Genomic DNA, 15,530 nt, shown 5'->3' on the forward strand with positions numbered 1-15,530 from the left:
TTGACTCCGAGTTCCACATGGCTTGAGAGGCCTCACAATCATGGCGGAAGGTGAAGGGGAAGCAAGACATGCTTAGATGGCAGCAGGTAAGAGGGTGTGTGCAGGGCAATTCCCCTTTATAAAACCATCAGATCTTATGAGACTTATTTACTATCATGAGAATAGCATGGGAAAACTCCTCCTCCAGGGTTCAGTTACCTCCCACCAGGTCCCTCCTAGGACACGTGGGATTTGGGAGCTACAATTCAAGATGAGGTTTAAGTGGGGACGCAGTCAAACCATATCAGGATCCAGACCACATTTTGATGAACATTATTAACTCCATCTCCCTCTCTCCATTGTCTCTGCTTCCAGAGCCCTCGTTCTATAGTGCAAACCTAACCATGTCAGTCTGCTCCAAGAAAATAGTTCACAGTGATTCAATACCTTACAAAATAAGCACAGGCTCTTAGCCAGCAATAGTAGATATCTTTTTACATGTATAAAGGCCTGATTTTTTTTTCTATAATGTAGGTAAGACAAATTATAAAAGTAGATATGCTGCAAGAAATTCAAGAAATGACAGATGTGGAAACCTTTACATAGGAAATCACTAAGTACAAAAGATAAGAAAGATGAAGCCAAGAATGAGACTAGTACTGAGAAAGCATGGAGTGAAACACATATATATACATATACACATATATATTGTATGTAGAGGTGTATGTGTGTGTGTGTGTGTATATATATATATATATATATATATATATATATATAGTTTATGAGGAGAACTATCTTCTTGTTACTGAAACCAGAGAGAATGTGTTCCTGTGGGTAGTAAAGGAAATTAAAATATTTTACCTCCAAATATATTTCTTTTACGTATTTTGAGGTGGCTGTTTCAAGAGCCTGCAAACAGAAGTAACCTTGCAAAGCTGTATTTTGTCCTGGGGGAACGGAAGAGGCAGGGATTTGCATCTCTAGAGAATCTACCTTGATACAGCCAGGTTTTCTCTGTGGCCTTCACTTGTCCGATCTAGGAAAGATTAACTGAGAATCTAATTACTTCAAAGATCTAAAAGAAACATTTACTATCTATTCTCTCTGAGGGCTGCTACCTGTGAAGTTTATTTACATAACAAGACCACCTTTGCTAGCCAGGCCTCATCTTCTCCCCCAACACCCTCCCTCCCCCATAGCCCATAGCTTATTTTGCCACTGTCTTAGGCTGTTCTTGTGTCACTATAAAAAAAAAACCTGAGAATGGGTGGCTTATAAAGGAAAGAGGTTAAATTGGCTCACAGTTCTGCAGGTTGTATAGGAAGCATGGTGCCGGCATCTGCTCGGCTTCTCGGGATGCCTCAGGAAGCTTTCGCTCATGGTGGAAGGTGAAGCTTGAGCAGGCACAGCATATGGCAAGAGGAGGAGTGGAGAGAGAGAAAGAGACAGACAGAGAGGAAGAGTAGGGTTTACACATGTAAACCACCAGATTTCACTCACTATTGTGAGGACAGCACCAAGCCATGAGAGATCTGCCCCCATGACCCAAATACTTCCACCAGGCCCCACCCCCAACATTGGGGATTACAAATCAACATAAGATTTGAAAGGGACATAGGTTCAAACTATATCAGCCACCATAGCCTGGTTTGCAAGGATCCAAGCACACATTCTTTTGGTAAACTCAAGATGGTATATAGGCTTCTGAACCCCACTGGGGGATTGGGTAATCATTCTGTGGTTCTCCCCCATGTGCATATTAATAAATGTGTATGCCTTTTCTCGAATCTGCCTTTTGTGAGTTGACTTTTCAGCAAAACTTTACAGGGCAAAGAAGAAGTATTCCCTTGGCCCCGACAGTAAGACACCTTAAAATATAATGAATAATATCCTCATAATAAATACAGCAATCAGTTTCCTAGGGCTGTTTCACATGTCCTCACCTGTTGATCAGTGGTATAAGGCCTGGCATAAAAACTGGCATATAAAAACTAACCTGAAGCACAGTTCTACAATGCTTTGGTAGAACGGGGTGTTCTTCTCACCTCTGACTTAATTGAGGGATATATTTTTAAACTGTCTAAAATAGAATTCTACAAAATTTAGTAGGAGTGGGGTATGAGTTAAACAAAAATTTATTAAATTCTAACCCACAGCCATAAATAACTCTCCCTCCACTGAGCTTTAAGTAGATATTATGTAGTAATAAATTTCATGTTGTACTCAGATAAATTCCTGGAGTGCAAACTTGTATAATGTTGTTAAAGTGTATGCAGACATAATTGAACAACCCTCGGGTATGGGATAGAATTTCCATTCTATTGTAAAAATTGAGTAGCCTAACAGTCACAAAACTCCCCTCAAAAGCCCTTTTCTGAGGTGGCCCAAGGCAGTATGTCTAGGCAGGAGAAATTATGCTCAAGAAGTAAAATTTCGTCTTCCCAAACACAAAGAACTAATGCAACCAGTTCCATAATTAACCTGGAACATTTGTAAAATAGATTGATGTAACTCTTTTTGAAGAATGTGGTTATCCTCATTTTGTGATGACAAAATGAAGCTTAAGAGAAGTGAAGTAACTCGGCTAGTAAGTAACAAAGCTGAGATTCAAACCCATATCTGGTTGTCTGCAAAGCCCATCTTTTTAACTCCTACACTACACTACTCTTTTTCAAAAACCATTTCTACCAACCCTGACTCCCGTGATATTAAGATGCCTCATTAATGGACAGAATTCATATTGAACTTACTTGTCTAGTCCATAATCAAGTTCTCTTCATAGAATTGAAGACTGGGGAACATTAGCACAGTGTATGAGGCCTTCGTAGTTTAGCTAGTACTACTTATCCAGTCACCCCTATGCATCTACTCTGGTCTCAAGTATACCAAACCACTTGTACCATGCTCTTCTGCCATATACCTCAGCATACCATTGATTCTACACAGAATGCTCTCTCCTCTAATGCAACAGGCAGGCTTCTAGTCACTCTTCAAGTCTCAATTCAAACATTTCATCTAATTTTTTGCTGTGGGATAATATAGCTTATATAAAAGTGGGAGGCATATATTTGTCCAGATTGTTTTAATACATACCATAGGGATGGTTAGTTAGCATTTTGAAGTACCCTGATAAATAACTGACAGTCTGTGAGTAGGTATTTAGTACTTCATATATTGTTATTTGAATCTATACCAAAGGATTTATAAATCAGCAAAAGGATAGTAGAATTTGTTTTTTTGTTTTTGTGAAATCAACACTTCTTAAGGTAAGTGGTAAGTTAGGATACTTTCTAAAGGCCACATACACCTGCATAAAAGTAGTACAGAATAAAAACAATGGGTACATCCATAGACTAGACGAATATCATCAGTGCACCACTTAAGTTCCAGAGCCCAGTTAGTCTTATGTCCTTCCACTTTTGGAGCCTGGTTAGTCCTGTTATCAGAAGATATTTGTATCAACCTTCAAAGTAAAACTTTCTTGCAATTAAGACAGAGAGTGGTACTTGCCTAAGCCCTGAGAACAAGCTGTTTTACTGTTTTGTGCTGATTTTTCAGTAGATGTACATACATTCAACAGAATTTGGTCTAAGATTTGCTTTCATCATAATATGCCACCTGGTGTGATGGTAGAGAGTAATGATAGTTATCAACCCTACATACCACTAGTCACAAAAGGGATACTAGATATTTACCCAATGAGACAAACTTCACTGCTTAGCCAAAATCTCTGAGACAAGTTTACGTCATCTTAGTTAATCCTTCCCTGAGTATCCCAAATGGTGCACTCTATTTCTATTCCATATCCTATTATGTTTTATCCCATTAAATGAATGAATATAATGTATGTTGCATTACAGCCATGTTTTGTGGCCTTTTAGTACTTATAACCTATCAATGCCATACATTTTTTGTACTTACTGAAAAAATATTAAATCTACGACTATAATGGAATACAATATTGCACATGCTTTTTAAAAACATCCACACATATCTATTTCTACTTGCTACATATTCTGTTATACATATTTTGTTTTATATCTTTTGTCTAACTTTAGAATCCCTGCTAGACTTACACACATGTTCATGCACACATGCACACACAAGCATTTCCAAATACATTTTGGTCCCCCGAGGGACACCTTATTCATGCATGTTTAGCAAATGGCTAAAAATGAGTCTTATATACAAGGCAAGCAATAAATATCTGTTCAATGAATAAATGACAGAAATAATAGATAAGTATATATTCCTTGTCACATGACTCTTCCCGTTTTATCAAGGGACAGAGAGATGATTCATAATAAAGGCATTTTCAGAAGACTCAAGGAACCAACCAATGAACCAATATAAAGTTATTTCATTGAACCCATTTGTTAGTGAGTCAGCATTCTTTCCTCGCTTTGGTTTTCTTTATAGCCAATTAAGATCTTTGCAAAATAGTTTACATACTTTCTTCTTAGACAAATATCTGGCTGTATTCATCTAGAATTTGCAATATTATCTATTTTGCAAACTAAAATCCTAGCCGAAACTGATGTTGACATCCTATTGCAATGTGGTTCTACCAGATATTTTTTTTCCCCTGAGACAGTCTCACTCTGTCACCCAGGCTGGAGTGCAGTAGTATGATCTCGGCTCACTGCAACCTCCATCTCCCGGGTTCACACCATTCTCCTGCCTCAGCCTCCCGAGTACCTGTGACTACAGGTGCCTGCCACCACAACTGGCTAATTTTTGTACTTTTAGTAGAGACAGGGTTTCACCATATTCGCCAGGCTGGTCTCGAACTCCTGAGCTTGTGATCTGCCCACCTTGGCCTCCCAAAGTGCTGGGATTACAGGCGTGAGCCACCGTGCCCAGGCCAGATTATTTATAAATAGTAAATGTTGTACAATTAATAAGCTTGCTACATATCTGTTATTCAGGTGACTAGGTGTAGTGTAAACAATTAGCAGGTAAAGAAAAGGTACCTGATGTCACAAGACTTGTAACTAAAAAAGTCTAGGTGAGTCTGAAGAAAAGGGGGAAAGGAAAATATTAGGCTAAATGTAAGTTGTAGTACATTAGTTGAGTGATTAAAATCAAACATCTGTTATGAACAACACAAGTGAAGCCAGTAAGAGAGTTGCTATACATTTAGTGGTTTTCAAGCTTAGCTATTTTAAAAAGAGCTGATATTCAGGCTGCATCCTAGAAAAACTATCAGATACTCAGGATGTGACCCAGGTCTTTGTATTCTTCTTGAATTTCCCAGATGATTCCAAGATTTAGAGAACAAAGGTTGCACCTCACTGCTATGATTGAAACTGACCTACATGAAAAACACATGACTGGAAAAAAGCCTATGGTGGCAGCAGTAGCATATTAGAATAGCTTTGGTATCATTCCTCAGGAGGTTGAAATATCTCTTATGGCCCATACATGGGTTATGACAGGAGCTAAGTTTTAAAATCACATTAATCAATTGTAAACTCTTTAGAGTGTATTTATTGGGTTTAGGGTGAAAACAAGTATCAGATTTGGTATGTATAGAAGGAAAGCATGGGAGCTGAATTAAATACTGCAAACGGCATAAGAACCACCTTCATTTCATGGTGGGAGGGTGGAACTTTTCTTCCAGATAGCCAGGTACAAGAGAAAACACAGCAGATGTACTTTGCATTGAATAAAGACTACACATCCTCCTTAATCACCACCTTTCCTTTTTATGGAGTAAGTGTGAATTATTGTCAGTTTCATCATTTGTAATCAGTGGCTGAAACAGATGCTGAAGGTTTAGTTTAAAATGATATGTGTCTCTTATAACAATTTGCAATATGCTCTCCAAGGACTATTTACCTTCCACATTGCAGAAACTCACTGCAAAGGAGTTTATTCTTAAAAGCATTTGAGGTAAATTAAGCACAATGAATGCAACTTTCGTTAGAGATAACATTTAGCAGAGTTATTATAGGGCTTACTATGTCTGCAGTGAGTGGGCATTTGCCTTAATGACTTTGTTTAACAAGCTTTCAATTCCTTGCTTATGTGATTTAAATGCTCTTATAACTATTTGCCCTTAGGAGTTTGGTACCAACACAAGGCAATCACAATTTGTTTTTTTGTTATTTTTAAACCAAGTTAGTATGTAAGAGAAATATATTTATAGTTCTGATATCAAGGGTAATGACAAAATTCTTAAGTTTGTTGTGCATGTTACACTAGGCATTAGCATCATATATTTATAATATAAAATATATCCATCCACACACACAAGTTGCTCATTTCATACACAGAGCTAGCTGAGTGTATACAATGAATAGAAAAGTATATCAACTTCATTTTCTAGATGAATCACAGAAAAGCACATATTTTGAAAATGAAATACTGCAGGTACCTTGAAGAAAGTCAGAACCAAAATCAAGGTAGGACATAAAAGTTTTTGTTCTGATCTATAACACTTTGGATTTTTTCAAAAATAATATGTTCATTTACTATTTGTGTAACTAAAAATGAGCTATATAACAATGACTAAAAGGAAATAACATAAAAAGAGAAATGCCATAGAAAACTTAGAAACTGTAAATGACCAAAGTATAGTCCTTAATAATGTGAGAATATGAGAACCAAGCTAATTTTAAGAATTAATCATTAAGACGCAGAATTTAACAAAACAAAAAAAAATTTTAAAAGATTAGTTTTATTATCAAAATGGCACAAAAACTAAATTCTTCTGCAATTTCAATTCCAATACCAATTTTAAAAATTTAAGTTTATGTTTTTGTGTAGTGGAGTGAGTATCTGCCAGTTAATCTATGACACTTCATGATATTTCATGAACACTTCAATAGTCCTCTAAACAGAATCAGCCCTTTGTCCTTGGGGTTTTCCACAAGATAGGGTAGATTTTTCCCTTAAAATTGATATACACAGCCCAGAATATTGGTGGAATGTTTAATTCCTCAAGTTCTAAATATACTTTTTAGGCCATCAGCCATATAAGGTGTATATATTCCTCCTTCCCTTTGTCTTGATAAAACTGACGGACTTCAGATTATCAAGCAAAGAGATCACTTTATTATATTGTATCAGGATTATTCTTCAAATGACATTACCAAATGTATCCCATTATTAAAGAAAATGGGTGCTTTGTTTGATTTAATAAAGCAACATTTACTGAAGAGAGGTCATAGTAGACTTACAAAAAGTATGGGGTGGTATGGACTGAATTACTTCCCCCCAAAATTTATGTTTGAAACTCTAATTTTCAAAGTGACTATAATCTGAGGTAAGGCCTGTGGGTGGTAATTTAGGTTAAATGAGGTTGTAAATAGGGTCCTAATTCGAAGGAGTGGTGACTTTATGAGAAGCAGAAAGAAGGGAGAGATGTCTTTCTCCTTTAACACATGAAGAAGTCCTGTGAGCACACAGTGAGTAGGCTGCCACCTACAAACGATGAGAAGAGACCTCAGAATGAAATTTACTTTCTGGAATCTTAATCTTGGACTTCTAGCCTTCAGAACTATGAGAAATAAATGTCTGTTGTTGGACCCATCCACCCTATGGTATTTTGTTATGACCGCCCTGAGCAGTCTAAAATGTGGGTGTTCTACTCTTTTCTGCCACTGGGAAAAGGACATATCAGATTTTTGCCAATAACTTACTTCTCCCATGTGGTGGGTTGAGAGGTAGTTCCCAAAGAGATACGTCCATAGCCTATCCTCAGACTTGTAAATATTAACTTATACGGCAAAAGATTGACTATTATCTTACATGGTAACAGATGTGATTCAGTTAAGAATTTTGAGATGAGGGGATTATCTAAGATTTTTCTGGTCAGGCCTTAAATGCCATTATAAGTGTCCTTGTTAGAAAAGGCAAGGTAGATAACATCGAAGAGGAGGTGGCAGTGTGGCCAGGGAGGCAGAGACTGGAGTGATACAGCTACAAGTTAACAAACACTGACAGCCACCAGAATCTAGAAGAGGCGAAGAACTATCTTAGAGCCTCCCAAAGAGGTGTGGCTCTATAAACACTTTAATTTTGTGCTTCTGGCTTCTAAAAATGTAAAATTTCTATTTTAAGCCATTCAATTTGTGGTAATTTTTTATAGCAGCCAGAGGAAACTAGTACACCCCATTTCAGTTTGCTCATCCATTTTCAGTGGATCCACAGTCTCTCTACACATCTCATATTTCTTTATAAAACATTTAAAACTCCTAAGTTAAACCATGTGTGTGTGCATGTGTATACAAGTAAGTCTTGAGACATTTGGGAAGTCTCTGTTAACTTTGTCAACTTCATTTAAAAATCAGTTCCTCATATTCTAAGGATGTATTGTTAGATATATTCCCATTAAAAACAAGAATAAGGCAAGGATTCTGGCTTAACCCTTATCTATAACATTATTTTAAAATTCTTCTGAATTATATGAAAATACAATAAGGCTCAAAAATAAGGGATTTACCTATTAAACAAGAGGAGAAAAATAATTATGAGCAAATGACATGAGTTTCCACTTGGAAGTTAAATAGAACTTACCAGAAACTGTTAATATGTGAGTACAAAAAAGAAAGCAATTAAGAGTGGCTTAAACATAGTGACAGCTTTATGTCAGCTGTACTCAACTAAAGTTAAGATGTCATAATAAAATCTTGGTAAAAATATAAATTATTTAAAATTTAATTATTATAAGAACTATAAGGGGCTGGCTGTAGTGGCTCATGCCTGTAATCCCAGCACTTTGGGAAGCCGGGGCAGGCAGATCACTTGGGCCCAGGAGTTTGACACCAGCCTGGGAAACATTGGCAAAACCCTGCCACTACAAAAAATAGAAAAATTAGTTGGCCGTGGTAGCATGTGCCTGCAGTCCAAGTTACTTGGGAGGCTGAGGTGGGAGGATCACTTGAGCCTGAGAGGTCAAGGCTACAGTGAGCTGTGATCACACCACTGCTCTCCAGATTGGGCAACAGAGTGAGAATTTGTCTCAAAAACAAACCAAAACAAAAAAACTATAAAACACATAAAAACAAAAATTAAATTCCTATGGAATACATGTAGAAAAAGGCATGCTATATTTCTTGATGGCAAAATTATTTTTAAAGCAATAAGTATCTGCCAAATTAATAGTTTGGCTTAATGTAATTGTAATCAAATTGTACAATGTTAATTGTAATCAAATAAATCTTAGCTAGATTTATTTAGACTTTAACTCAAGATTTGTTTGAAAGAATAAATAAGCCAGAAAGGCTAAGAAAAAAAGACTAATATCATAAAGATACAATTTTTTTAAGTCAAAATTTTCTAATACTGCCAAACAAAATCAACAGATCAATGAAACAAAATAGATAGCCCTATCAGTCATAGTAATTTTATGTTAAGGGGACACATCAACAATTATTAGTGAATGGGAGGGCTATTCATCAAATGATTGGGAACATTAGATGATTATTTTGAAAACTATAAAGTTTAATTTTTAGCATATAACAAAATTCTGGATACACTGAAAAGTTAATAACAAAGATAAAATTTTAAAATACTATTTATAATTTATATGAACATTCTTCTGAGCTCTGAATTGAGGACTTCTCAAACATACAATATTTAGTTTTAAAAAATCCATAATAAAAACATTTTATATTTTACTACATAAAAATCATAATCATAAAAATCTAACATTCGTATTCATAAAAACATTGATGAACAAAATGAAAAGTCAACCTCAAGAGAATATACACTATAAACATGATGGATATAGTTTTTATCATTAATTACATAATAGAGATGTTATTTTTGTCTGTGTTAATTTCTATTTCCCGTTGCTGTCACGTCACCTAAATATTCAACCATGAATCTTGAAGTCCCGGGGGTGGAAGGGAAATGTTCTACACGGGAAGGATATGTACATCCCTTCTGGCTCAAGGCATTGTGGGGATGAGGAAGAAGATTCAAGCAGAGAAGGAAAGTAGACTTCAATTATTGATCACCATCTCCCACCCTATTCTCATATCTTTTGAGCTTACATTTTGGGAAGCTGATTTTAAAAACATCCAAGAGTTATGGAGTAGACTCTCTAGAGAGTGGCTTGCCTCACTATATACTCATAGGGGGCTAGTAATGACAATATTCTAGAAGACATATATGTGGTATCCATCATGGTACTGGAGTGATGGCTTAGAGGTGTCATTTGATGCTGAGATAGACTCTCAGGAAGTGCCCCTGGTCCCACCAGTCTCTGTATGTCAAGCAAGGGACCCAGAGGTGCCAGTGTGCCTATTGAGAGGGCAGAGTGGTGCTTGAATCTAGGTGAAGTGACCATGGCGGGCAAGGATGTAGAAACCAGTGGCAAATGGCCAGAATTGAGGACTCCAGTGAAGGGTGCCAGCATGTCAAGCTTAAATTGCTAAAGGGGACTCAATCATAGTGAGAAGTCACCCGTCCTGGGAATCAATAGCCCAGCTACTCCGCAGTGAAGACAAGAGGATCCTGAGAGGTCAGGTCAATCTGAGGACCCCAGCCTCTCCAGTGCTCTATGATCATAGGAAATGGAGATGGTAGAGAGCACAGAAAGGAAAATGGCCTGTGAGGATCAGAGGATTTGCAGGTTAAATAAGGGGCTTGCAATCTCTTCTTATACCGTAACATGAGCAAATTTCTGGCCTAACTCCAGGTGTTGCCTATCTGTATATTTCTAAAAACTGAAGCATTCTCCTGGAAAGTGAATCACTGAGGGTGTGGAGTCCGGGATAGACCCTTTAGGATTATGTTCTCACTTCTTTTCTCATCTATCCCTTCTTTTTTACATATCTCTTGTTCAAGAAGCAAAGACCTTTCCATTCTGTTTGCCGTATCTTCTTGTGCTATGGCCATAAGCCTCTTGGATTCGTTCTCTTTTCAGAGGGGAGATTCTCTCCAAAGTCTATTAAATAAACACTTTTTCTACATCCTCCAGGTATACCTCTCTAACTGGGAGCTGTGGTATGACATGGAAGTAGAAACCTCTGAGGATGAAAATTATTTGCTATTCTATCTTCTAAATATTCTCTAGTAGAAAGTCTTAAATAGCTCACGCAACTGATAAGAAAATTCAGAAAAGACTGAATAAGAAATTCACAACAGAAAAAAATAAACATATTAAATAACATTTAAGTTCACAAGTAATCAAGGATACATATTTAAAAACACAAAGCCTTATTAAATTGGCAATTAAAAGAGTTCCCAATGTTGGAGAGAGTGCTCTAAAAGAGGATTTTTTTTTTTATCATGCTGCTGGTAATGTAAATTTTGCTTTAAGCTTTCATAAAGTAATTTGGCTATATGTTTTTGTATTCTTCAGATGATCTTCTTAGATCATGTGCTTCTTATGATTAGAAAAGACAATAAATAATGGCTTTAAACAAAGCTAAGTATCTCTCCTTGGCATTCATCACTGCTGACTGTAGTAGCCTATGTGGCGTTGGTGAGACGTCCACCTGGCATATCCTATAGCGCTTATCTACATTCACCAGACATGTATATCAGTAACTGTTGGCAGGCAGCCAAAGTGACAGGGATGTTGTGCTAGGAGTTTTAAGTAGCTTTAATTTTCTGTTTCAACTGAAATTCTATGTAGACTTTTTCAAACGTATGTAATTATTCAAACATAAATCAAAGCACTAAATTAAAATACAAATAGTAAAATTATTTTTCAAAGAAAAGTTAGCACATGAATGGTTAAATCCTTTTCTTAAGAGATATAGCAATGTGTTGCACATATACAAGTTCATGAAGCAAATTTAGTACAAGAACCTAATAATAACAGTGACATAAAACTGTATCAAAATGAAGATGAAATCCCAGATTAAGGTGGCAAATGTTCAGCTGAATCACTGTCTCCTCTGACAGGTGACTTCCTAGGGACTGCATTAACACTCAGAAAAGCAAGCAACTGTCCCTTCAATTCCATGGTGGTGTTTTCACTAGGAAATTGGTACAAAGTTACCATCATACACACAAAGAATAAAGGATTCAGAAAGACTGAAAGCCAGAAAAAGTAGTATCTTCCTACCTTTTAACTTTTCCTGGAAAAATTACATATATAATCCTTAACCCTAACCCTACTTTAGTTCTATATATATAGAGAGAAACATATATGTATATATATATTTTTTTTCCTTGGCTCTTTTAAAAAGGTGATAGAAGGAGCCCTAAAAAAAGAAGTGTATGTTTATCTGCTTTGTAAAATGTGATTAAGAGAACTATTTTCCAAAGCTGGATTCCTCTAAGCTAAATGAAAAACTATTCTTTCCTCTCAGTTCTATGTTTTTCTAAAACACATTAAAATCTTTGGTTCTGTAGTGTAGGATTTTACTGAAGTAGAGTGAGACTGGAAAAAAATATTGTTTTCCAACTTAAGAAATATTCACAGTGAATCCTTTAGGCACAGGAGTAGCAGTGCAGAATATCAGAGATCATGTCAACACCTTTATTTCACAGGTGAGAGCTCAGAGGCTCTGAAAGCACAAGACAGTCTTTGGAGGTCATGCTGTTAGTCTGTGCCAAGACAAGATCTTGCTCCTCTGACTGTAGCTCATTCAATTGCATCATCAGTCTGGTGATATTTACTATGTAGCAAGGACAATGTCTTTCCCTCAATTTTCCAGATCACCAAGCAATGATGTGCCTGTTACACATGACATTAAATTTAAGATGGGTCTAATGAAGGGGAAGTTTAAAGTGCATGAATAGTGTTTCAGGCCCATATACTCCTCTCCCGGTGTCTCCATTTCTCTTTCCTGTCTAAGGCCAATGAATTGCCACAGTATCTATTACTTGAAGAATCTGATGCCATTTGCTACTTTATAACTTACATAAGCTTCTTGTGTAATTTTATGGAATGAGATTTTGGATGATAAAACATTTCAAATGAATGCAAACCTTTGTGACGTTTTCTCAGCACATATCACTTAATATCTATTATCGTATGAGATAATACATGTAAAAGGGCTTAATTCAGACAATACATGTAAAGAGCTTAACTCAGTGCCTGGAGAACAGATATAAATCCAGCTGATCACATGTCAATGATTTTACTTTATAACTCTGATTCTTCTCCTAGTAGTCATGGCCTTGAGACTCTTCCATATATTATAACCCAGGCCAGGAGTTCTTTTAAAACTTCAGGAGAGCGGGGAGATTGGTTTATTTTACTACTGATACATCCCAAACACGTAGAACAGTATCAGGCACAGAATAGACTCAAAGACATAATTCCCAATGAATACATGGATGAGTGTAAGTAGGGGAATGATACAGTAATGTAAGTTGTGAGCCCTGCTCTGAGACTTGAAGCCCAAGCTCACAGCAAAAGCTGCTGCCCAGATTGACAGAGATGGAACTTATTACATAGATGGAACTTACTGCAACAAGGCTGATCAAGAAACAGCTTGTGAGGAATGTTTTCTTTTACAATGTTAGGGTAATGCAGGAAGATGATAAGTATCAGTAAGGATTTCTATGACATTGCTTCCATTACAGGAATTCTTTAATTCCTCCTCCAATCTGGAAGACTTGTTGTATATTTTGGGCTGAAGGTTTTTTGTTTTGTTCTGTTTTTTTGTTTTTATTTCATGGATACTATTTCAAAAACTGAATAACAGTGTCTTAAACCCAGTGACAGACACATTTGTTATGGGTATCTTAACTTGAAACTCCCACAGACCTCGGACAATTTTTCTATTAGCCAGCATTCTTTTTTTCTTTTCTTTTCTTTTTTTTTTTTTCTTTACATTTAGAGGAAGTATTTAAGGAATGGAGATACTGTCTTTTTAAAATTGTATTTAATTTAACAATGTGAATCAGATTATTTAAAAATAAACTTTAGTAAGTAATAGTTCCAGATCTTTACCTTAAGGTGATTTAAAAAGTAATAACTAGATTTGTCAGAGGTGTCAGAACAGAGCAACTCCATCTTGAACAGGCCGGGTAAAATGAGGATGAGACCTGCTGGTCTCAGCAGGTCTATTCTTAGTCAAAAGATGTTTATGGTTAAGAGAACAGAAACAGACCCAGGACTTAACAGATCCAGAAAATGTCCTGATGTCCCAATATCTTAAGAACAAAACCATTCCTAGATTAAGAATAAGTTTCATTTTAAAGATAATACAGACTCTTGGAAAAGATGGTAGTTACACAAAGATTAGCAGTCCTTTATCACAAATCCTTGTAGTAGAGCACATCTCCCCCTTGATTTTTGTTATCTTATATATAAGCAAGCATTGTACCTAAGGTGGGCGCATTCCTCCTCTTACTTTCGGGAGCGCCCCACTCTGTCTATGGAGTAGCCACTCTTTCATTCCTTTACTTTCTTAATAAACTTGCTTTCACTTTACTCTGTGAAGTCACCCTGAATTCCTTCTTGTGTAAAATCCAGGGACTCACGTGCTCACCAAAAGTAGTGTTCAGAAACATATATTGAAATTAGAAATTTCTTCTGGTCGGGCGCGTTGGCTCACGCCTGTAATCCCAGCACTTTGGGAGGCCGAGGCGGGCGGATCACGAAGTCAAGAGATCGAGACCATCCTGGCGAACACGGTGAAACCCCGTCTCTACTAAAAATACAAAAAAAAAAAAAAAAAAAAAAATGAGCCGGGCGTGGTGGCAGGCGCCTGTAATCCCAGCTACTCGGGAGGCTGTGGCAGGAGAATGGCGTGAGCCCGCGGGGCAGAGCTTGCAGTGAGCCGAGATCGCGCCACTGCACTCCAGCCTGGGAGACTGCAAGACTCCGTCTCAAAAAAAAAAAAAAAAAAAAAATCCAGGAACTCTCTCTTAAGGTCTGGATTGGGGCCCCTTTCTGGTAACAGATTTACTAAATGATTTTGAAATTAAATAAAAACCTCTTATAAACTGGTGTTATTAAGAAGATGCTTCTTTTATTTTATTTTATTTTATTTTTTGAGATGGAGTTTCGCTCGACTTTTCTCCCAGGCTGGAGTGCAATGGCATGATCTTGGCTCACTGCAACCTCTGCCTCCTGGGTTCAGGCAATTCTCCTACTTCAGTCTCCTGAGTAGCTGGGACTACAGGGCCACTAAGCCCAGCTAATTTTTTTTTTTTTTTTTTTTTGGATTTTTAGTAGAGACGGGGTTTCACCATTTTGGCCAGTCTGGTCTTGAACTCCTGACCTCAGGTGATCCGCCCGCCCCGGCCTCCCAAAGTGCTGGGATTACAAGCGTGAGCCACTGCGCCCGACCAGAAGAAATTTCTAATTTCAATATATGTTTCTGAACACTACTTTTGGTGAGCACGTGATCTATGTTATGGATTTTAATAAAAGATAATGTTGTATTCAGCAATGCTGCCCAGGAAAATATAATGTGAGCTGCAAATGCCATTATGTCATTTTAAATTTTCTACTAGACACATTAAGACAAGATGAAATTAATTTTCATAATATATTTTATTTAACCCAAATATTATTTCAGCATGTAATTAATGTAACAACAATTAATGAGATATTTTACTTTTTTTGTACTAAGTCTTCAAAATCTCAGTTTGAACAAGCCACATTTCAACTGCTCAAAAGCCACATG

General features: G+C 36.8%; 1 annotated feature.

Moving 5' to 3' along the window:
* Window positions 776–1,378: an enhancer, noted in NCBI's record as "OCT4-NANOG hESC enhancer chr4:142823512-142824114 (GRCh37/hg19 assembly coordinates)". NCBI's record gives its function as "activates a minimal SCP1, AML or CMV promoter by ChIP-STARR-seq in naive H9 embryonic stem cells {active_cell/tissue: H9 hESC(naive)}" and the evidence as "EXISTENCE:reporter gene assay evidence [ECO:0000049][PMID:30033119]".

Source organism: Homo sapiens, chromosome 4 (assembly GCF_000001405.40).
Source record: "Homo sapiens chromosome 4, GRCh38.p14 Primary Assembly".
In the NCBI taxonomy this organism is placed as follows: Eukaryota; Metazoa; Chordata; class Mammalia; order Primates; family Hominidae; genus Homo; species Homo sapiens.